Genomic DNA, 24,904 nt, shown 5'->3' with positions numbered 1-24,904 from the left:
TTTTTTTTTACAGCCAGACACAGGTCTTGAATTGTACAGCTGACTGCTTTGTTTGGGATACGTTACTTTCAATCATTTTCCTGATCCTCTGCATGATTTACAGAAGCCGAGTGGGTGGCTTTAGCATTTCCATGGTCCTCCCTCTCCACTATCATGACATTCTTAGGTGAATTTTTTTTAGAGCCATTATTCTCCATTTACAAAGGCAGAATGCAGTGGCAGGAGCTGGGACTCTGGGAAACCAACAGCCAAGAATTCAAACTACAGCATACTATGAAACACTCAGATAAGATGTCCCCATCATATTCTATTATTGGGCAAAATAAAAGGTAAACCATGTGCTCAAAACAGCAAATATTGTGGGTGACAGTGACACTGGTATTCGGAAAGATGAAGAGATGCAATTAAGAAACCTGGCAAAGAAGTAAACATGCCATGTAGCTTACAAAAGACCAGCCACATTGTGTGTATTTTAATATTGTTTAACAGTAACACCTAATAAAGAGAGCATCATGATTGTGTGAACTACATTTTCGGTCATAATGAATGCTACAAAATTAACCTCCCAAGTTTAGACAGGCTACAACGTCTTGGGAAATATGCAAGAAGAATTATTTGATAAAGGTGACAGTTTTTCACACCTGAAAATGATCTTCTCCCAGCCTATCTTGATCAACAGCCAGCAGCAACACATTGCAGATATAATCTCAAGACCTTGTGGCATGTACTTCTCACTACATGCATAACTTACTATGGACAGAGGATCATGGAGATTTTGAATATAATTTCCCACATGACAGGAGATTAAATAGACCACATTGGAAGAAGCTAGGTCTCTGGAGAACCAAAAAGTAAACTTCAGCCAGTTCTGGAAGCAGATAAACAGCAGGAAATGTACTTTCAGATGGGCTACTTTCTCAATAGTTCTTTCTTGCAAGAGCTCTAGGGAAAGTATGAGTTACTGGGTAAGAATGTAATAGAAAAGGGGCCAGCCTTGGAAAACTTTGCAATGGAAGAAAATCAGTGTCTCCTCATTTACATCTTTCTTTCTCCTCTTCCTTTGTAATGCCACCTTTCTTGGGATATTCCTTCCCCTAGAATACCCTGCCTGTCACCCCACGAGAACCTGCTCTTGAGACTGCATTTCTAATACCTATAATGAGATGTTATGTCAATGCCTTATCTCTCAGTGTGTGTATATACATATTAAGCTTTCTGTCTATGTTGTGCTTTCTCATGCAGGAATATCAGACATTAATGAACCAGTAAAGAAGATACTGAGGTGCAGAAGAGCTTTCCCAGTGTCCCGGGAGCCATTCTACACAGCATCCTACAGAATGACTGTGGATCTGCTGTGCTTAGTTTCTTTACTTGTGAAAACAGAGTAATAGCAGCACCTACCTCACAGGGTTGTTCTGAAGATTAGAGGGGTTCTTTCATGGGAAGCTCTAGAGCAGTGCTTGAGACATGGTAAGTGCTCAACATGTGTTCATTATTATTATCATTATCAATATTTGATGTAAAAGCCTTTCTGAAAGAAATCACACAAGAACATGATCAGTTAAAAGATATATATGAATGAAAGTATGTTTGGCGCTGTCACAACACAGAGTGGCATAATGGTTAGGAACATAGGCTTTGGAAGTCAACCATCTGTGCTCAAAGCCTAGTGTCACCACACAGCCATTGTGGGACACTGGGCCTCAGATTTCTAGCCTGAAAAATGGGGGAACAATGTCTGTCATATAAAGTTGCTGTAAAGATCAAACTGGATAAGAAATGTAAAATACTCAACAGTGCCTGACACAAAATAAACACCAATTAATGGTAGCAGGAAGAAAAGAGCACTCTTCACCAACATTTTACCTTCAGAAATTGGTTAAGAAGAAATGAGTGCTTAGGAACCTTCCTGTTAGAGCTGGGAACACAAATAACCCCAAGATATGACCCAACTGAGAAAAGAGATACGAGAGTCAGCAGGTCTCAGGACTCGAGAACATATCATAGATCTGGGGCCAAGGGGACCTCCCAATACCTCAGTCTTGAATTAGCCAGATGTGCCTTTCAGTCCTTGGCTGAGCTGGACTGAGGCCTCCTCCAAAGGGAGAAATAAATGCGCATCCTGAAGAGAGCTGACTCTGAAAGAGAGAGAAACCCACAGAGGCTGAGTTTCACCAGTACAGCTACTTTCAAGCACATTCCTCAGTTAAGTCATTTCTCTTCCCAAGGGGAGGACTGAATGAGCTTATGGTGAGAGGCCAAAAGCTTTTCTCCTTTGTTTTTCCCTCATGGGAGAGGACGGAAGTGCTATCCTTTCTGTGGGAACCTGCAGACTATGGACGTTTCCCCCAGCAGTTGGCATTGACTGATTTATCTGCATGTTTCTCTGTTCACATCCTCTATATGAAGAATCGAAGTGGGAATAGCCCCCAAGTAATCTGATAGTACCAAAGCACTATTCTAGTTTTGTATAATTTTTAAGTCTCTTCTTTAAATTTTTTTTTGCAGACTCCATCCCAGACACAGCATACCAGAGTCTCCAAAGGGCTAAGCTCAGCAATCTGTTCTCAAGCTCCCAACAGGAGTCTTATATAGTCAGGCAGGCAATGATCATATATGGGGACCATTAGAAATAATCTAATGCATACCCTCTGAACTTCAAATTTTTAGTATTCTCATTTTCTGCTCAAGCTCAATTTCAACACAGTTCACAGTTTCTCATATCCACCATGGCATTCTGCCAAGGAACTACAACTCGTGTTCTCTAAACCCATCTGTTCTAAGAATGCTGGGCTGGTTATCAATTTCTAATGTACCTGCTTAAACTTTCCTCTCTCAATATGTCCCTGACTGAACTGCAGAAGACAGAACAACTGTACTAGCCATCTCTTTCTGCATATCCCATGTCCCCACAGAGGCCACTGTGTCTTCATAAAGCTAACTGCCACGATTTTCACAAGTGATATTTTTCCTTCATGATTTTCCATTTTCTACTTGGGCATTAAAATACCAGGGAGAGAAGGAAGATAATCGTTTAGCAGCTGGGAAAATAAGATATGTGCCCCAGCACAGTACATGCTAAGTATTCAGAATGTATAGTTATAGTAGATAACTATAAATTAGATAACTATTAAAATAGTTATATTAGATAAGCAATATTTTTCTCATCTTCAAGACTTAAAAAGTTAACTGTTTTAAGTGGTATTCAAAAAAGGAAGGTACTCACTCACATCAACCCTATTGAAACCACATTTCTATAGCTGGATGTAACAATCTTAATCCAAATCATTCACCAAAGTTGTTTAACTTTCTTAAAGTAAGGCTCTAGACATTTGCTTCTTTACAAGTATCTTGCAAAGCCATTATGAGGTAGAAGAAATGTTTAAATGCGCCACATTTTCCTACTGCATTGTAACTAAAATTACTACTCACAGGACGTGTATAGCTTCTGCATTTTGGTCCATCACATTTTCCGCCATCAAATGAGTGTATTCTTAAGGTTCTCACTTTATCATCAGCATAACATATTTTGCTTCCAGAATGCCCAGTAAGGCTGAAATTTTTCATTTAAAGTGATAAAAAAGTTCCCCAAATATCTACTTAACAATCTTAGATCTGAGTTTTAGCAAGACAGTTTAATGCATACACAATGAAAACACTATATTTCTCACTCTCTCTCACATGCACAGATTAAAACCCCAAAGTTTTCACTATATTTCCTCTTTCTTATACAGCTCAATTTTTAACATGCAGCTTCCTTATAATCTAAAAACAATTTTAAATATGATTATCATAAAAATATTTTAAAACAGAGATGAAATGTGTAAAGGCAGATATAGATCATCCATGGTTACATTGGTTACATCACATTTCTTTAGAAACAGAACTGTTTCTACTCCTGTAGACAAACTTCTCTCTCACACATTTAAAGTGAGGTTAGTGCTGACATAAAATTATCGCTCTACTCACCATCTGAGTGTTTGCACTGTGTTTGAGGTACATTTTCTTCATTTTCACAGCCCCACCACTCTTGAGAGTATGAGTCAACAGAAGTTTGCAGGCTAAAACCATTCAATAATATTTTCATCAATACTGGAATGATAGTAAGTAACATTACACAACATCAGAGGCCAAAAATTTTTCTTTGTTGAAGCCCAAGATTTTAACTTATTCTTCATTACCTGAAAATACTGCTCATTTAACCTCTTCAGGAAAAAAAAAAATTCTGTAGATGAATAATTCCTGCCTTAATGCTTCACCCAAGACAGTTCCTTCATACTTATCCTCCAATGCTTTGTTCTTTTCATCCATTTGATGTAGCAGGCAACAAGAATCACCTTTCCTTTGGTGATCTGACATAGCGATCTCTTATGTTTTTGCTAATTGTTTGATAAATATTTAGTAAATTTTTCCACGGTATGTATGCACTATTTTTTGTAGTTCCAATTCTAAAGGTTTTATTAATGAATGAACATTGTCATCTTAAAAGAACAATTTCTCAGTGCTTCATAAACAGCTCTAAATGCTGGTTGCTTATCATCATGGTAAACACCTCTGTTCCCGTGAAAAATAAAGATTCCTTCTTCTGCTTCTTGGCAACTGCTTCCATATAGACAGTGATCTGGACGACACTTCCATTGACACGGAAAGACAAAAAGGCTTTCTGGATTATGAAAAAACAGGATATCCAACAGATCTTGATCGCCCATGTAATGTTTAACTTGTATATTTTAAGCCATGTCATAAGTATATCTCCTCATTGTAGTCACACAGTTGTCATATTATTCTTGAAATACTTCCTTCTCATTCAAGTCATGTTTGTCAACATAACTCCAGAGTTTACTCCAGCTTTTCCACACTATGGATGCCTAGCAAAGCGACTATACCATCCTATTTGACATTCCTTGTGTTCTGGGGCCATTGCAGAATTTGTGTGGAATTAAATTTCTTTAGTAAAGACCAAATATTATCAGCTGGTCTTTTAAAAAGGCTATCAGTGTGAGAGTCAACTTCTTTCAGGAATAACGGCAAGGACAATCTCTGCAAACCACATGGTTTAAAGAGTTTTTCCACTCTGCTGCATTCTCACTTGGAAAGGTTATGGAGTATATTGTATAATTAAATATTTGTAGAAATGACCCCTGTCAAGCCTTCCTTTAAAGCTATGATGTAGTTGATCTTCAGCAAAAATCTGGAATTGAAGAGGTTTGATCCTGAAAATAATAGCTGACTTCAACATGGTCATAGTTTCTTCCAGTCTTTCACCTAGATACATTTTCTCAACAGGCTGTATTTTCAGACTACACCTGTCCCACCTGCGGGGATGAGCAGCGGGACAAGCGCTGCTCGCGCCTCTCACCGCACCGCATCCGCCTCCCGCCAGCCAGGAAGCCACTGCGGCCTGCGGCTTCCCGCCACCACGGCCCGCTCCTTCCTCCGGGGACACGGGGAGCTGGCTGAAGGCGTAAAGGAGCGAGCAGAAGCCTCAGGCCAGACACAGAGCCACCACGCGCGGTAGCGCCGCATGGCCCCAGCGGCGTTCCTCGGTCTCCGTCTCCGCCGCGCCCGCCTGACGAACTGGAGCACAGGGACCATAGTTCTGGAAATTTATCCTTTTTCTCTCCATGGATTCAGCAGCAGCGTCTAAAAGAAAAAAAATCATCAATCAATCATTTATATATGTTTTAATATAAAGATATAAAACAGTGGAACCAGTGGAACTGGATAGAAAGTAATTCAGTTTTACAGAACACATCTGTTTTTCAGGCTCTTACTTTTCTTAAACATAAAAGAGCCATATATATTTCTATGGAATTCCCCTTTTACTTAAGAATTCATTATCAGCGAATTAGTGTAACGAGGCTGTTTTGTTAGAGGCTGTGGTTGCATTCAAAAATTAGAATAGGAACAACGACTTGTAAAAATTCAACACTTTATTTTATTTTTGAGACAGTTTCACTGTGTTGTCCAGGCTGGAGTGCAGTGGCTTGATCTCAGCTCACTGCAACCTCCCCCTCCAGGGTTCAAGCCATTCTCCTGCCTCAGCCTCCCGAGTAGCTGGGATTACAGATTTGTGCCACCATACCTGGCTAATTTTTGTATTTTTAGTAGAGAAGGGGTTTCACCATGTTGGCCAGGCTGGTCTTGAACTGCCAACCTCAGGCGATCCTCCCCGCTCAGCCTCCCAAAGTGCTGGGAGTACAGGCGTGATTTAACATTTTAACATTTTAAACTACCACTTACTACATTCACTGTGTCTGTGATTTAATATACCTTTTTCAGTGGCCACAAAATTATAAAATGGATACAGAATAGTCTCTTCAAAACATTAAGGAAGTTCTTTCTTTTTTCTTTTTCTTTTTCTTTTTTTTTTTTTTTTTTTTTTGGTTTGAGACGGAGTCTTGCTCTGTCGCCCAGGCTAGAGTGCAGTGGCACAATCTTGGCTCACTGCAACCTCCGCCTCCCGGGTTTAAGGAATTCTCTTCTTCAGCCTCCCGAGTAGCTGGGATTACAGGCGCCCGCCACCACGCCCAGCTAATTTTTTTGTATTTTTAGTAGAGACGAAGTTTCACCATCTTGGCCAGACTGGTCTTGAATTCCTGACCTCATGATCAGCCCGCCTCGGCCTCCCAAAGTGCTGGGATTACAGGCGTGAGCCACAGCGCCCCGCCGCAAGTTCTTTCTTCTTGAAAGGATTATAAATATAATTCATACTGGCATGACACTTTTACTAATATAGATTGACTTTTCGCTTCAAATAACCCATTCGTATATCGAAATTAATTTTGGTCAGTATGTGTGTGTGTGGATGTATGTGTGTGTGGATGTGTGGATGTATGTGTGTGTGGATGTGTGGATGTAAATGGCAGTAAAGGGTAAAAGGGAAGGTGGAAAAAAGGGAGATGGTCTAACATTTTCCACACATTTTTAAATACACAAAATGTATATTTAACACAATACACATACAATAAAATATGTAGTAAAACAATGGTGTGGTGAAAACAAAACATTGCGAACTAGAAAAAAGACTTAGCCGCTGGTCCTGTCGGATCCGCCCCGCGGTGGCCCTCCAGCCGTAAGCTCCACGCAGTTCAACAAGGGCCCCTCCTACAGGCTCTTGGCGGACGTCCAGAACAGGCTTCTGCCCAAATATGACTCCCAGAAGGAGGCAGAGCTCCGCAGCTGGATCAAGGGATTCACTGGCCTCTCCATCCGCCCCGACTTCCAGAAGGGCCTGAAGGACGGGATTATTTTATGCACACTCGTGAACAAACTGCAGCCGGGCTCAGTCCCCAAGATCAACGGCTTCCGTGTAGAACTGGCACTAGCTAGAAAACCTCTCCAACTTCCTCAAGGCAATGGTCAGCTACGGCATGATCCCGTGGACCTATTTGAGGCCAACAACCTGTTTGAGAGTGGGAACAATATGCAGGTGCGGGTGTCTCTTCTCGCCCTGGCAGGGAAGGCCAAGACTAAGGGGCTGCGGAGCGGGGTGGACATCCGTGACAAGTACTCAGAGAAGCAGAACTTCGACGACACCACCATGAAGGCCAGCCAGTGCGTCATCCGGCTGCAGATTACCAACAAATGTGCCAGCCAGTCAGGCATGACCGCATATGGCACGAGGAGGCATCTCTACGACCCCAAGAACCGCATCCTGCCCCCCATGGACAATTCGACCATCAGCCTCCAGATGGGTACAAACAAGTGCGCCAGCCAGGTGGGCATGACGGCTCCCGGGACCCAGCGGCACATCTATGACACCAAGTTGGGAATCGACAAGTGTGAGAACTCCTCCATGTCCCTGAAGATGGGCTACACGTAGGTTGCCAATCACAGCGGCCAGGTCTTTGGCCTAGGCCGGCAAATATACGAACCCAAGTACTAGCCAGGTGGCCCAGTGGCCCACGGGGCTCCCTCCGCCGGCAACTGCCCAGGGCCAGGGGAGGCCCCTTACTACCAGGAGGAGACCGGCTACTGAGGCTCCCAGCACGCTCTCTCCACACATGGTCTCCCCGTCTGGGTGTTGGGTTTTTCTGTGTTTTCATCTTTTTTTTTTTTAACCTGTTCAGTGCTGCCAGTCAACCGAGGGTCTGTGAGTGGCAGCGTGGGATCAGGCAGCAGGGTTTTTTCCCCACCTCCTCTTGCTTTGGTTCCTTGGCAGGACTGAGACACCGGGCTGTGGGGGAAGGGATCAAGGCCATATCCTGATGCGTGTAGGGTGAAGGTCCCCGCTGGCACTTCCAGGCTGTGGGCTGAGCTGTGCTGGGGAGAAGAGACCTGGGCATGGAGGGAACCAGTCCCCGAAGGTTTCTGGTTGCCTCTCCTCTTCCCCTTTTTGTCAGCCGATCAGTTTGTGGTTTCTGTACCTGCAAAAGTTTCAGGAAGTATTAACAAAAGAAAGAAAATTTTTTTCTTCTCCGAGGAATGGGGCGGAGACAGTGGAGAGGGTGCTGGGAAATGAGTCCCCTGGGAGAGGGGGCCCAGCCACGATGCTAAAATATCTCAGGCTCCTGAGTGGCTGGATTTCCCTAGGACCCTCAGACCGACAGACCTCAGACCCTCAGACCTATGCTGGGGCCCGGTGAGGAAACTGAGACCCGTACAAGTTAGTGGAATTCTGAGTTGCCAGGATTAAGTCTGACCCCTCTCCATCCTAGCTCCCCCACCCCCGTGGCCCTCAGTAGGGTTTTTTGTTTGTTTTTGTTTTTTGTTTTTTTTGAGATGTAGTCTCACTCTGTCGCCCAGGCTGAAGCACAGTGGAGTAATCTCGCCTCACTGCACCTCAGCCTCCCAGCTTAAGCGATTCTCCTGCCTCAGCCTCCAGAGTAGCTGAGACTACAGGCGCCCACCACCACGCCTGCCTAATTTTTTGTATTTTTAGTAGAGACGGGATTTCACCATGTTGGCCAGGCTGGTCGGGAACTCTTTCCCTCATGTGATCCGCCTGTTTCGTCCTCCCAAAGTGTTGGGATGACAGGCGAGAGCCACCGCGCCCAGGCCCTCAGTAGGTCTTAAGGAGCCCCGGCCCTCCTTCTCCCCTTCCGGGCCTGACCAGGTCTACTGCTCTATCTCTCCCGGCCCCAGGCCACGCCAAGTACTACACAGAGCCCTCCACCCAGGGGCCCTGCGCTATGAGATAATGTGAAATACCGACTGTGGACCAAACGCAATAAAACCTCTGTTTTTTAAGAAGAAAATGAAAAGACTTAAAACTGGCATTTTAAGACTTTATTATGTATTATTAATTATATATTAAATATAAATGTTATACACTTTAGCGCCTCTATCTCCCAGTCTCTGGTTAGGAGCTTAACTTTCCTAAGCCTCAATTAGTAAACACTTATGGCCTAGCCACGTTGACCCGCCTCTCTCCTAACATCATCCAGTACATTTCGGAAGCGCATGCAAAACTCTCCCACCTTCTGTTTCAACAGATATGTCAACTGATGCAATTATACAATAATTGTATAAGATAATATTAGATTTAATCTCACAATCACACTCAGCTTGATTACTAACCCTTCTCTTACATCTTGCTCACCTAAATTTATCTACATTTTCTGTGAACTGAAATAGCTTAGAAATGTATGCCATCTGTGTATTATAGTGTAAGTTATTGTAATATAGAAATATGGACTTTCTTTAACTCCCATTTGCTGCCTAGGAAATACCAATATTTTTTGAGCATGGCAAGTGTTTCCAAGCATTCAGAAGTGGAGAGTGTAGGAAATCCACTGCAGAATGAGGTCTGCTTGTCATCCTCTCAGTCTCAACTGCTCTCCCTCCTTCATCTCTCTCTGTTTCATTGGTGAGTATAGAAGATCAGGCATTTTTATATGAAGTGAAAATTGATGGAACTAAGGTGTTGATTTGAATATCCAACCGACCATTTACTGAGTGTCCATTACAAGTTAAATTGTGTTGTAGAGAACAGCTCAGGAAACGAATGCTTGACATTGATGTACATAACAAAAATACAAACATACCATTAAAAAATCAGACCTCTTATGACAATCCAGATTCTCATGTAAGTTTTGTGAAGCTCTTTCAAGATGAGAATGTAAAATTTCAAAAAAAAAATCATTTTAACAAGTCATTCTTGAGATAGAAAAGTGGAATTAGAAGATCATATATGGTTGTTTCACTAGCTCAAATCTTATGTACAGTTTTTAGTCAATTGACAGCCATATGATTCTTATTTTATATGCTGTTATTCATTAGAAACTACAAATTTTAAAAAATATTCCTGTCTCATTCTATGAATCAATCTAAAAATTTCATTCATTTGGTTATATTTCTTCATTTTACCTGGCCTTGAATACTTCTTTCCCGCCCAGCATTAAATTTAATTAATGTCTAATTTGTTTACTTGGTTTAGTTACTTTTGGCCATGTTCAGTACACTTCTTATGAAGCAGGCATGTAGGAATGTTGACAAGTTTATGGTCCTCACTTTTCCAAATCCCAAATGGTGGCACCCCAACAGACACATACCACAGTGTAAACACATACACACACACACAATCCACGCCCACCCATACTCACCCACCTACACACAGACACACACACACACACACACTCCAGTGGATCAACACATAAAACACTCCACAGGCAAAGACATTATCCATCAGGGATCTCTTAGTGCACTACACACTTCTGTAAATTATCAGGACTCCTCAATTGAGGTGAGTCTACAGAGATTTCAAAGGCTATTTGAGTGCTAAGCTATCTAACTAGTGGTTGGACACTATTTAAATAATGTGTTAAACACAACTCTTGAGGCTCTGAAGAATTTCTATGCTTTCCAATGAACCAGGAGTTACAAGGTCCTGAAAACCACAAGTGTGTTACATCCTTTAATAGATAAAGCAAAGCTGATATTAATGTGAATATACTTTATATTTACTTATATTCGTGTTAATTTTTCTTTGCCTGTAATACATATTTTTATATAATGGGGAATAAGAAACATCTTAGGAAAAAGAAAACAAAAAATAAAATTTCACTGTTTACACTGTGCCTTGGTCCAGTAACCCTGCACTGCACATATACACTTTAAATTGGTGTCTTGGGGAACCACCTCGGTATTTCATTTTAATAGCGCATCCTGGAGAATATATTTGAGTGGATCACATATTACAACTGATTTAAATTTTGACCCATATAGAAATGTTTTCAAAAATATGTCTGAAGCCTGGATACTGTAAAAATGTTTATCATCATAGAATAATAAAAGGCTAGCCATTAGTTACTCAGAAATTGTTCAGTAAATCTAAGATGACTTAGACATAAATAGTTATGAGTGAATATAGTTCATCATTAATGTTTGTAAAAATTAATGCTGTCTTTTATGGTTGAGAAAAACTAGAAATGTAACTTAATTTGATAGAGATAAATGACATAAACTTTACATAAAGCAAGAGAATAATAGATGTGTAAAAATGTTTTGTAGATAAGATTTTAAGATGAAATTGTGCTGAACGACATGAATCAAATGTGTTTTGCATACTACATCTGCAGCTACAACATCACAGCCTTTTAAGTATTTCGTTAACTTCAAAATGTAACTTATTGCTGAAACAATCTGATTTAATGAATTGGGATAACGGGTAATGATTGGTGTCAGCTGAAAGCAATGCTACAATTTTAAAGTTAGATTTCTTTGTGTATTAATACAAACACCAGAGAAGATGGTCAATAAAGTAATTACTGTACAATGCCTATCATAATACTTAAACCTGGAAGAAAATCAGAAAATGTTAAGTGAATAGAATTGGTGAATTGTTTCCATTTTATACAATTTTTTGTTCATTTTAGGGCTTACCAAAACTTGCAGCTCTGAATAAGGCCCAATTATTTACTCCTTCAAATAAAACAAGACTGCAAGAATAAGAGTGAATGCTTTGTTTTGTTTTGTTTTTCACTGAAATATTCCAGTCTGTAGCAGCTCCAAATCACACTGATCTTTCTAGAGTCTGATACAGGTCCTGGTCTCAAGGCCAGTGTTACCATAATCACCATCTTTTGTGCTTCAAGGTTGAGCCCTCCTAATTTACCTGCATGAAATTGGAAAAGTCCTGTTTCATACTTTAAGCAACCTAGATGTCTCTTTCACTAAAAGTGGTATTCTTCTTGTGTGTTTTTTTTTTTTTTTTGCAGCAAATGATGTCAACTTCTACCTACACCTGACATCTCAATTAATTTTTGACATTTTCTTCTTCACATTTCCATTTCAAATCACCAAGTATTGTCAGATTTTACCTTCTCTCTATTTCTTGAATGAATTTTTCTCTTTCTATCTTCATTGCCATCATGGATTCCAGCCCATCACTCTCTCACCTGGGCTATGGTGCACACCTCTAAAGTGCTCTCCCTGATTCTCTCTCCAAAAATGGTTCTGTGCTATATCTGGAATGATTACTTGAAATGTAAATACAATTTGCATTGTAAATTGCTTTGCTTAAAAACTCCCAAAGACTTCACATTAGTACTAGGATAAATAGCAAGAGTCCAAAAATGGGTTCAAGCAGTACAAAATTTGTTTCCTTTCTCTTTCCCCCCTCTTGTGGCATGAACATTGTTGAACTAAATGATTCAGATGTATTTCTTCTTGTCTCCTGGACTTTGGTCTTCTTACTCATATGCTTTTCCCACTACCATCCCAGATTTATATAATTAGCTCTTACTGGGTTTTTTTGTTTGTTTTTTTTGAGATGGAGTCTTGCTCTGTTGCCCAGGCTGGAGTGCAGTGGTGTGATCTCAGCTCACTACAAGCTCCACCTCCCAGGTTCATGCCATTCTCCTGCCTTAGCCTCCAGAGTAGCTGGGACTACAGGCGCCTGCCACCTCACCTGGCTAATTTTTTTTTTTTTTTTGTATTTTTAGTAGAGACAGGGTTTCACAGTGTTAGCCAGGATGGTCTCGATCTCCTGACCTCGTGATTCACCTGCCTCAGCCTCCCAAAGTGCTGGGATTACAGGTGTAAGCCACCACACCCAGCCAGCTCTTACTCTTATTTTAGTTTGCTCTTCATCTTCCCCACCAAGGGAAACCTTACCTGATATCCCTAAATATGAAAGGCTTTCATAACAGTGCATAGCTTTTCTCTGTTATTTATAATATTGTTTTTAGGTTTTTATATTTTTATTACTATTTATAATAGATACATCTGAGCATGCTCTTTGATAATAAGTCTAATAAAGTTTTGATGCATTTAGTAATTCAGTACAAAATTGTTTTCTATAAGCCATGATTCTAGAGATTGAGGGGAAAGTGCAGTGGTAATCTGTCCCAAATGGAAGGACAAATAGCCAAGCAATGTTGACCTACCCATTCATCTCTCAAAAACAGAGTTAAGATATTGATTCTCCTGTTTTCAGGATGAAGCAGGGACAGGGAGTTTCTTGTTATCCTCTCAACTCACTCTTTTTATGGAAAAAGTAATTAATCTGATAAATGACACAAAAGATTTTGATGTTCATTAACAAGGTGGTGATTCCAAGAAGTTGAAATAAAAAGACTTCAGAGCCCGTCTCTCTCAATCACTATCTTTGGTCTCTTGAGGATGCTTGTGCACAAAATAGGGAGCACCCATGTAAGAGCTGCATAGGCAGGCTCAGTCCAGCAACTGGTTTCATAAATCCAACTTTTCCAAGCATGATGGAATGTCAGAATCCCGTGAGCCAAAAGTTTTATGATGAGAGAGGAAGAATGATATTTACTCCCCAATCTAATTTTTAAATTAAATTTTAAACAAAGTTAATAAAGTTAACAAACCTGAATACACACACACACATGCATATATACCCACGCACATGCACACAGGCTTCTTGCATTCTTTTTTTTGTTTAATCATTCATGAGAAATGGTTGGATTTTGTATTTTCTATCTACCAATACTTGCACAAACTCTGGCTGCAAAACTTTTGTTGGTCAAATATTAGCATTTGGGAAACCACATCCCTGCTGAGAGATAGAAGATCTTGATACAACCTTAACTACATCATCAGTAGACATGGGACTGTTTTTAACCAGAAGGAGGCAAATGTCTTCCAGATGGTTGTGTAGCTGGTTTTAACAGTAGCCTGCAGTGGCTTTTTGACAGACATAAACCTTACTAGTTATTATTAGGCTTCAGAGCATTAGTATGAAGTTTTAATTTGGCTTATGTTAGGGATGAGAAGGTAGCACTATCCTAGATGCCCTAAATATTGCTCCTTGTCACTTTTTCCCCACTGAATTCAGAGGTAATCTGGGGACTGTGTCTAAAATGGCCTTATATTCATGTGTTTGCCATGGGTTTCTGAAGCTTTCATTCTGAACATGGTCTCAAGTTGGCTCTTGAGGGCTAATTTCATTACACATGATCATAGGCATAAATTTAAATTTGTGGAGGATTGTTTTGTACATCCCACATGAAGGGGTGACCTGCCCCTCCACACCTGTGGGTTTTTCTCATTGGGTGGGATGAGAGACTGAGAAAAGAAAGAGACACAGAGACAAAGTATAGAGAAAGAAACATGGGCCCAGGGTACCGGCACTCAGCATATGGAGGATCCACGCTGGCACCAGTCTCTGAGTTCCCTCAGTATTTATTGATCATTATCTCTACCATCTCAGAGAGGGGGATGTGGCAGGGCAATAGGGTAATAGTGGGGAGAGGGTCAGCAGGAAAACATGTGAACAAATGTCTGTGTGCCATAAACAAGGTTAGAAAAGGTGCTGTGCTTTGAGGTGCACATACATAAACATCTCGGTGCATTAAAGGGCAGTATTGCAGCCAGCATGTCTCACCTCCAGCCTTAAGGCAGTTTTCTCCTTATCTCAGTTGATGGAACATACAATCCGGTTTTACACCGAGACATTCCATTGCCCAGGGACGAGCAGGAGACAGATGCCTTCCTCTTATCTCAACTGCAAAGAGGCCTTCCTCTTTTACTAATCCTCCTCAGCACAGACCCTTTATGGGTGTCTGGCTGGGGGATGGTCAGGTCTTTCCCTTCCCACAAGGCCATATCTCAGACTATCACTTGGGGAGAAACCTTGGACAATACCTGGCTTTCCTAGGCAGAGGTCCCTGCAGCCTTCCGTAGTGTGTAGTGTATTGTGTCCCTGGGTACTTGAGATTAGAGAGTGGTGATGACTTTTAACAAGCAAACTGCCTTCAAGCACTTGTTTAACAAAGCACATCCTGCATAGCCCTAAATCCATTAAACCTTGAGTCAACACAGTGCATGTCTCTGCCAGCACAGGGTTGGGGGTAGGGTTACAGATTAACAGCATCTCAAGGCAGAAGAATTTTTCTTAGTACAGAACAAAATGGAGTCTCTTATGTCTACTTCTTTCTACATAGACACAGTAACAGTCTGATCTCTCTTTCTTTTCCCCACACCACAGAATCTGGATTCACTACCAAGAGACTGTAGCATTTATCAAAAAGAAGATAAAGAGAAATAAGAGTTCTTGTTGTCTAGGGAATATATCATCTTCTTTAGGTAATGCTTATTAATGCTCCTCAAAATAGCTAGAGCATTCAAGCTTTGTACCGAGTTCACAATGAGAGAAGTAGCTTCTACTAGAAATTAAATATGTTACTTCTTTCATTGAGTAACTATTGCTACAAGAATACGTTTGCTGAATAAATTAGCACATTTATTGATATAATTGATTTGCATACTGTGGCAGCACTTCATGGACCAAACCCTAAGTCCCATGAAAAATTGAATAGAATTATTTGACAGTTAAGTATCATTGGAAAAGCCTGGCTCTAGTTCTCAGGAAGCAATCTGGTTGATTATGTGTTTTCGGTGTGTAGTCATAATACAACTGTATATCACTAGTGTACATTAGACACTTTGTGCACTCTACATATATTTTCTCATTTGATCCTTCAATACATGCATAACAGAAGAAATAGACGTGGATTTAATTGCTCCACTAGGGTCAAAGACCAAAAACCTCATTACAATGCCAATGTTAGAAATTCTTCTTCCAATTAAAATAAAGTTACCAAAGACAATTGCTCCTGCCATAATGAGAAAATATCGGATGAACTTTAAAAAATTATTTTTTTTTTGTTTAAAGCCATCAAAAAATTGTGGGTCTAAAGTGTCAATGAACTAAATTTCAGAGAAAAACAAGCCCTTCCTTGGTGATCACAGATTAGCAGCAGAGCCCATCTCTGAGGACATTTGCTGGATCTGGGGCCTTGAGTAGGTAGAAGAACAAGCCTACAATGTGCAGACAGCTGGAACATTGGGAATAAGCAAAATAATCTACAGGGAACTGCAAGAGGGACTGAAAACTAGAAAGATCACGTGTTCTCCTCGCACTTACTTATTTCCACTTAAGAGACAGGGTCTCATTCTGTCACCCAGGCTATGGTGCAGTGGAATAATCATTGCTCACTGCAGCCTCAAACTCCTCCCTCAGGTGATCCTCCTGCTTCAGCCTCTCCAGTACATGGAACTACAGGTGCATGACATCATGCTTGGCTAATTTTTAATTTTTTTGTGTGTGGACACAAAAACCGACTAGGTTTCCCAGGCTGGTCTAGAACTCTTGGCCTCAAGTGTTCTTCCTGCCTTGACCCCCACCCTCTCCAACCAAGCACTGGGATTACAGGTGTAATGACAGGGAGTCATCACATCTGGCCTCCCCTAGCATTTAGATATTAAACTGTTGGAAAAATGAGTAAAAAATAAATGTAAGTAGCATTTTGAGTATTTTCTTCCCATACACCCATGGATTGTTTAGTGTATCTTACTACTTCACATAGGAGACCATTCCTGCATCAAACTATATAAACTAAGTATTTAAATTTGATTTTTTCCCTACAATAAGCTCTATGCTAAAGCTCATTACATTTGATTTTGACAATCTGTTTTTATACCACAGTTGCAAAAAATTAATCACATTCTTTACTTCATGAGACATTATCATTATTGTTTCCTACAAGTTTCTCTGGTTTTACTTGTTTCATTTTTTTATTCCTTATCCCTTGTCACAGACAGGCATGCTAATGTGTTTGATATAGGTTCTTTACTCTTAAAGAATTCTTACAAGATAAGAAGGTTGTTTTCTGAGTGTGTGTATGTGTATATACGTGAGTGTATACATTTTGCTTAAAGAGTATTGTGCTATAAATCTAATTTTATTTCTAATTTTTTCACAGAGCATAACATCCTTCATACATTCCCACATTGCTGTAGGTTATTTTTGGTTGTTTATTCCCCTGTAGCTGCTGCATAGTTTTCAATAAAATGAATCAACCACATTTTCCCTATCCAGTCTTGCAGTAGAATTCACACTGATATCCTGCTACTGAAATATTCACTTCCTTATGGTATCCTTATGAAAACACTTTTTGGTCATGTGTTACAATTTGTCAGGGGCTATGTTAGTCTCTTTATATTGCTATGAAGACATACCCAATGCTGGGTAATTTATTTATTTATTTTTTAATAAAAGAGGTTTATCTTGGTTCGGGGTTCTGCAGACTGCACAGGAAGCAATGCTATCTGCTCTGGGTGAGGCCTCAAGAAGCTTACAATCATGGCAGAAGGTGAAGGGGAGCCAGTGTGTCACATGGTCAGAGAGGGAGTAAGAGAGAGAAGGGGGCAGTCCCAGGCTGTTTCTAACAATCAGATCTCTATGAACTCACTGAGAAGAACTCACTCAAGTGGATTGTGCTAAACCAAGCTTGTCTAACCCACAGCTTGTGGGCTGAATGCAGGTCAGGACAGCTTTGAATGTGGCCCAAATTTGTCAACTTTGTTAAAAGAGAGTTTGTGTATGTGTGTGTGTGTGTGTGTTTGTGTGTGTGTGTGGTTTTTTTATTTTTATTTATTTATGTATTTATTTATTTTAGCTCATCAGCTATTTTTAGTGTATTTTATGTGTGGCTCAAGAAAATTCTTCTTCCAATGCTGTCCAGGGAAGCCAAAAGGTTGGACATTCCTGTGCTAAGCTATTCATAAGGCATCCACCCCATGATCCAATACCTCTCACTGGGCCCCACCTCCAACATTGGGGATCATATTTTAGCATGAGATTTGGAGGGGACACACATCCAAATTATATCAGGGATATGTACCCATCATCGAGACAGGTTGTAGAGTATGCATACTTTCAAATGGGTCCTGTCATGTTATTTTCTGAAATGGTTAAAACCATTTAATTTTCCATCCATTGCCCATAAAGCTTGTTTTCCTCATATCCTCATCACTCAATGTTATCTAGGATTCTTATATTTTCTAAGCAAGTGGTGAAAATACAGATCTCATTTTATTTGTGTACATTTGCATTTGTCAGATTGTTAACAATGTATTGAATTTTTTGGCCCATTTTTCTATTGAGTTTACTATCTTCTTTGTTCATCTGAATATCAATCATATTCACTTTGCCCTAAGCAGTGTCAACATTTTCTATTACTCTGTCATACATCTGATAACTTTGTATGCCAACCTTTACTGAAATGAGCCTTTATGATTTTTATACTTCTAGAGTTTATGTATTTAATTAAATTTATTGGTTTAGTATATATTTTATTAAACTGTAACAACAGTCCCAAATCTATGTTTTGCTGGGTTCATTCAGATTTAGAACTCAGATAACTTTTTGGAGGATAAATTCTTTTTATCATAATGAAGAATGGCTATCATAATGCAATATGATTACTTCTGCCAATGCTTATTGTTTTATAGTCTACTTTGTTTCTGTGGTCAGGAGGACAAGACCTGAATGGCCTTGACCAACTCAGCTTTCTGTACCTCCTAGTTCTCAGAATAACTTTAGAATGTTCCAAGAAGACAATATCCTGAGATGAGTAGAAACCGTCTGGGACAGTCTGGGCTCTGTCCTTGTTGTTCCTAGAACAGGATATTACTGCAGCCCTTAAACTCAGAGAGCCAAGGTGCACGTGGGGTGTGAAACCTAGGGCGGAGCACTCAGGGGTTCCTCAGCGCAGTACACAGTGGGGCATGTGCAGAGGAGACTCCACCAACCCTGGGCAACTTTTCTGACCTCAAGGGTCAGGCTTGCCATAGAACTTAACGGTTTTGCTGATTCTTCCTGCTCCTCTGTGAGTAATAAATTTGGTTTGTCTGACTTACTGTGCGAGCATTGTTCTGTTCCTGGCAGCTTGGTTTATATAAAAAACCTCCTACTAGACCTATGAATCTATGCAATGTGGAAGTGTCATAGAGGTAAATAAGAAGCAACTTAACTGAGTTGAAAACTAACATACATAACATGGGGCCACTGCACCAAGGGGCAAAATGATCCTGCCAAAAAGTCCCATGTGACCATTCCAGACATACTGTGGAAGAAGGATGCTGAAACTCACAGAGATCTGAAGATCTTATCCAAGCCAACAGGAGGCTAATAAAGCAAGAGAATTCCACTGTACTCTGATGCGAGAGTACAAGCTTCACCTCAGAGAATAGCAATGCAATGGCCCCAGCGATCAGACCAGAGAGACCCTCTGCCACAGAGAAAGCAGAGGTCTAGAGAACAGCATGAAGACAATAAGAGACTTCAGATTCACTTTCCCTTTGCCTTGAGGCCACAGAAAGCCCAAAGCATCTGAACATCTTCCTGGAGGCATTTAACTAAAAGAGAGCTATTGAAACTTGAAGAAAAATGTGAATCAAGAAGCTAAATTTAAAGATATGTTACTTTCTCCAACCATCCCCCACCAATTAACCATAGGATGAGTCTAGTGAGATAAAGCATATCATTTATACAAAATACAAAAGTTATATGTCCTTTATGTGGGCAGAAATATGTTCAAGCTTTACTCAATAAAGGTATCTTGTTTTACTACTAGAAATGGTAATTTTCACTTGGTCATTACTTTATTTTATAATTATCTCTATTTAAATTAGTATCAGCTCACTCCTGGGTATCCACCTAGAGGAAAAGAAGTCATATGAAAAAGACACATGTATGCACATTCATAGCAGCACAACTCACAGTTGCAAAAATGTGTAACAAGGTTAAATGTCTATCAGCCAATGAGTGGACAAAGAAAATGTGTTATAGATACACCATGGAATACTACTCAGCCCTAAAAATGAATCAAATAATGACACTTGCAGCAACCTGGATGGAGTTAGAGATGATTATTGTAAGTGAAGTAACTCAGGAATAAAAAACAAATATTGTATGTTCTCACTTATAAGTGGGAGCTTAGCTATGAGAGAGTGAAGGCATAAGAATGATTTAATAGACTTTGGGGACTCAGAGGGAAGGTTAGGGGGGTGAGGGATAAAAGACTACACATTGGGTACAATGTACACTACTTGAGTAATGCGTACACCAAAATCTCAGAAATCACCACTAAATAACTTTTCCATGTAACCAAAAACCACCTGTTTCCCAAAAACTATTGCAATAAAGTAATATATATGAAAACAATCAACATGATAGTCTTGAAGTGCAACATTCACTGGGTTTCATATGGGAGAAAAACAGCTAAAATCAAACACATGGACAGGCAGTCAGAACAATGTCCATCATATACATAGTAAAATTAATACAAGGACAAACATTCATGAGTGGAGTCCATTTGAATCAGCCTGTAGTGAAGACATGTGCCTTAGGGCACACATAACTCATGTTAGGGAGAAAATGTATAATTTTACTCAATGTGAAAACATCTTCAGAAATAACTCAGTCCATGCTGTCCAGATGCAGTTCTGTTCTGTAGAGATGAAGAATAAGAATCATCAAAGTGGAAAAACCTCTGTCCTGCTCCAAATTCTGGTCCACACAGGAGTAGTACTACTGGAGAGAAAAGCCATACATGTCCCAAATGAAGGAAAGCCTTTACGTTATCAGTCATTTCTTATGAGACATATGAAACTTCACACTGGAGAGAAACCTTATGAATGTAACAAAAGTGAGAAAGGCTTTAGATATTCCCTACACCTTAATAAATATTTAAGAAAGAACATTCTGGAGAAGCCCTATGGATGTAAGGAATGTGGGAAAGCCTTCAGCAAGGCTCAAAACATGCACATATAAGGAGTCACACTGGAAGAAACCCTATAAATGTGATAAATGTGAAAAAGACTTTGCAAAGTCACCAGAATTAAAAGCCATCTTAAGATTCACAATAGTGAGAAGCCCTGTGAGTGGCAGGGAAATCATCATTAATTTTTCACCGTACTGAACATGTGAGGAGGACATACTGGAAGGGAGCTCAATGAGTTAACATGCATGAGAACATCTTTCCTGAACTCTCCTATCTTACAGAAGTGTGAAAAGAAACCCTCTGAAGGTAAAGTCTATGGAAAGCCTTTCATCTTCATTCATCGTGAGTAGATATTTGTTCTCACACTGGAGAGAAGCTATGAAAGTAAGGAATATGAAAAAAGCCTCAGTGTTGTCTCAGACTCATAGTTCATACAAGAACTCACACAGCAGAGACTGCTTATGGAAGTAAAAAATGCAGAAAATACCTCTTTAAACACTATCCCTCCTTTATACATGATTCCACACCCTGGAGGGAGACTACAATTGAATAAATATAAGAAAGCTTTCAGTTCCAGCTCTTCACTTATTGGGCATGAATGAGCACAGGGTAGGACTGAAGCACAGTAAACGTTAACAATTATTGACTTTATCATTGTCTTATCCCTCAATTATAACTCAAATTCATAATTTTGTAGTTTTTCCTTTCTTAAAAAATGGTACAAGATGACAGATATCTGTCTTAGCAACCTTTCCGCTCTGCCACCTTAATGTTGCTATGTAGTAGCTTTGTTACAATTCATTTACATACACATGGTTTCATTTTCAGTGGGAAGCCCTTCTGAGCTCCATTCAATTTAGATTTAGAATTCGTATGCTCCATGATACCTTTTTTGTCAGTTTGTTTTTTGTTGGTCACAATTTGACTGCATTATGGTCACATTATGTGGTTTTAATGGTACTGATTTGGGGTACCTGTTATGACTTTCATTTTGGTCTAATGTGGCCAATGCTGTCCATTTCCCTGCTATATCCATTATTCTCATCTTCTTCACTAAGGGAACATAGATTCACTTTTTCCAAGGAGCACTGTTTAAATGTCTTTATTTATTTATTTATTTATGCATATTTTATTATTTTATAATTTTTTTTTTTGAAAAATGGTCTCACTCTGTCTCCCAGGCTGGAGTACAGTGGCATGATCAGAGCTCACTGCAGTCTTGAACTCCTGGGCTCATGTGATCTCCCAGCTCAGACTCCTGAGTAGGTAGGACTGCAGGCATAACAGGTGTGCACCGCCACACCCAGCTTTTGTTTTGTTTTGTTTTTGTAGAGACTGGGTCTCGTTATGTTGCCTGGACTGGTTTCAAATTCCTGTGCTCAAGTGATTCTCCCACCTTGGCCTCCCAAATTGCTGGAATTACAGGCATGAGCCACCATGCCTGGCCCTGGTTAACGTCTTTAAATGAGTTTCCCAGTTTTTCTCGTAACTGTAGTGAGCGAATCTTATAGTCCTGGCCAATGTGAAATGCAGAATTCACTGCTTTGGATTTCTGAAAATCTGTTTGGAAAGGGGAGAGTTATTGTTCCTCTTTTTTGTTGACCAATTTCCCTTTGCTTTCTCTGCTTGCTGCTCTCTGGAAATAGGATGAAATGCCCTGAGTTGGGTTTAGCAACTTGAAGACCATTGGAAAGATTGTCCCTACAACAAAACCTTCAATCTACAAGATTTCTCCCTCCCCAATGGCATGTTGTGTATCCCTGGCTGCCGTGGACTATTTCTGGACTTGTTTCATGAAACTAACCCCTAGTAGAACTAAGAAACATTTTAGGAGAGAAGTTTACAACAGATTAAATGATAAACCTAAAAAATGAATAAAACATATTATAAAAATAAAGAGGATAGACAAAACGGGCTTGCAGATGCTGACTGGCCACACTCATCCTTGGCGCTTGCCCCCATGGATGCCTCACTGACTGTGACACTTGGAGAGCTGGCAGCCATCACTCAAAAATCAGAACACAGTGGCCTCTACTGCAGCATCAGGGAACCAAAACTAAGCTTGTCAGCTCTCAAGAAACATACTTATGTGTGTGTGTGTGTATATATATATATATATATATGACATAAATTTATTCAGGGACTTTGAGGTATCTCATGCTAAACAGATAAAATGAATTAAAACTAGTGCAAAGTTATGGCAACAGTACTCCCCATTATTTATGCAGGGCGTTGAAAACTGGCACACGTCACAGATCCTTAAGTCATTCTCTGAATCAGGAGGAGAAAAGAGAACAGAGAGAGCTCACTGTATGTGCCAGTCACTGGACTGAGTACTGCGCCTACGGGATCCCACTTGATGCTTGCAATAACCCTGCAAGATAAAGGTAAAAACTCACACACACACACACACACACACAAACTCACACACACACTCTCACGCATACATACACACACATAAACTCACACATACACACGCATCCTCAAGCACACACTAGAAACTACAGAACAAAAAAGCATTGACAACTAATAGAAGTATACTGCTGGCCAAACAAAGTGGCTCATGCCTATAATCTCGGCACTTTAGGCCAGGAATTCAAGACAAGCCTGGGCAACATAGCAAGACACCATCTACACAAAACATTTTCTTAAATAAACATCATTTTTAAAAAGAGGTATAATGCCTACAGGCTCAGGGAAGCAATACCCCTATGGCTGTATGGTAAGCAGCAGGCAAGGCTATTTTTCAGACCAAAGTGGTAGTGACTCCAGGGTTCCTTTGCACACTTAGCCAGGAGATTGGCTAGCTCAGCACTGCCTGGGTTCACTTTACCCTTCTACAGTTCTAAAGCTCTGGCAGGTGGGACCTAAGCATCACAGAAAGTGCTATTATGCAGGACTCTCTTGACTGCAAGTGACTGAAACCTAACTGGATCCAGCAGAACATTGAATTATTTGGCTTTACTTACTAAAAATGTACATGAGTAGATGGGCTTCTGTCTCAGTGGGATCAGGGGTCAACTAATATCAACCAAGGCTCATTCTGTCCCTTCATTTCCTGTGTCAGCTCTGCTTTTCAGGCAAGCTGTTTTGAGAGAGCAGCAAAAATGGCCCCATAAAGTTCACATCACTTACTTCCTTACAAATAGATATGCCAATAAAAAGTAAGCACCTCATTCCCAGCAGTTTCATCAGAAGTTCAGGGATGACTTCCATGAGCCCAGCTTGGATCACATGACCACTCCTGAATCAATTACCCTGCTGATCTGATTGCCCAGGGTGGGTCAGCCTTCCCAAATCACATGGACTAGTATTGAAAGACAGGTCCTCCCATGAAAAGAAAAAAAAAAAAAAAAAAAGGAAGGGTAGTGGCAGAGGAATATGAGTGGGGGGGGCCTCATCTCTATATAAAAAGTATGAGCGTATTTGTGCTCTTTTGTACATTCATTTGTATAGTCACTGGGAAAAAAATGAGAAAAACCCAAACACGGCTTTCTATATGCCTCTGTGCTTTGTTTTCAACACTGAGCTGTGAGAAATCTAGTTACTAAAATGAAACTTTGAAAAAATACAACAATTTGGGACAATGGGGACACTTAGCTGATGCAGCACAGGTGAACAGTTCTTCTTTTGTGCCCAAGAGGACACAATTCCCAGGAGGCTGCATGTGGTCTCCTAGGACAAGCCTGTGGGCACCCACTGGCTGCAGTTCCACCTTTCCTTCCCTGGACTCTCAGGAAGACATGAGTTCTGGATTCAGCTGAACTGAGCTCAAGTTCAAGTTCTGTGACTCACTGGCTCTGTAATTCTGGGTAAGTCTCTTGCTCTCCTTGAGTCTCATATCCTCCTTGGTAAAATGGAGAGGTAGAGCTATTGTTAGATTTTGAAGGCAAGGCAAGGGTTAAAGAAAGACAGAGAAAGACAGT

At 40.3% G+C, this 24,904-nt stretch overlaps 1 long non-coding RNA gene and 3 pseudogenes across 2 annotated transcripts in view; 3 read left to right on the top strand and 1 right to left on the bottom strand.

Annotated features, from left to right (window-relative positions):
• Positions 1-5,371, top strand: part of LOC124902159 (uncharacterized) — a 68,637-nt gene extending 63,266 nt beyond the window's left edge. The window contains exons 2-3 of the long non-coding RNA XR_007061497.1: positions 1,243-1,470; positions 5,287-5,371. This is a non-coding gene — a long non-coding RNA (uncharacterized LOC124902159). The remainder of the gene's footprint in view (positions 1-1,242; positions 1,471-5,286) is intronic.
• GXYLT1P3 (GXYLT1 pseudogene 3) lies at positions 467-5,626 on the bottom strand (annotated as a pseudogene). The gene is made up of 4 exons (NR_121572.1): positions 3,970-5,626; positions 2,036-2,138; positions 1,402-1,531; positions 467-868 (listed from the first exon to the last, which is right to left on the bottom strand). The product of NR_121572.1 is annotated as a GXYLT1 pseudogene 3 (transcript).
• On the top strand, positions 7,040-8,178 carry CNN2P2 (calponin 2 pseudogene 2; annotated as a pseudogene).
• On the top strand, positions 20,431-21,139 carry LOC100419690 (zinc finger protein 114 pseudogene; annotated as a pseudogene).

This window comes from Homo sapiens, chromosome 9, assembly GCF_000001405.40.
Source record: "Homo sapiens chromosome 9, GRCh38.p14 Primary Assembly".
Classification (NCBI taxonomy): Eukaryota; Metazoa; Chordata; class Mammalia; order Primates; family Hominidae; genus Homo; species Homo sapiens.
Note: the sequence above shows the minus strand (reverse complement) of the source record. Positions and strands in the feature narration are given on the sequence as shown.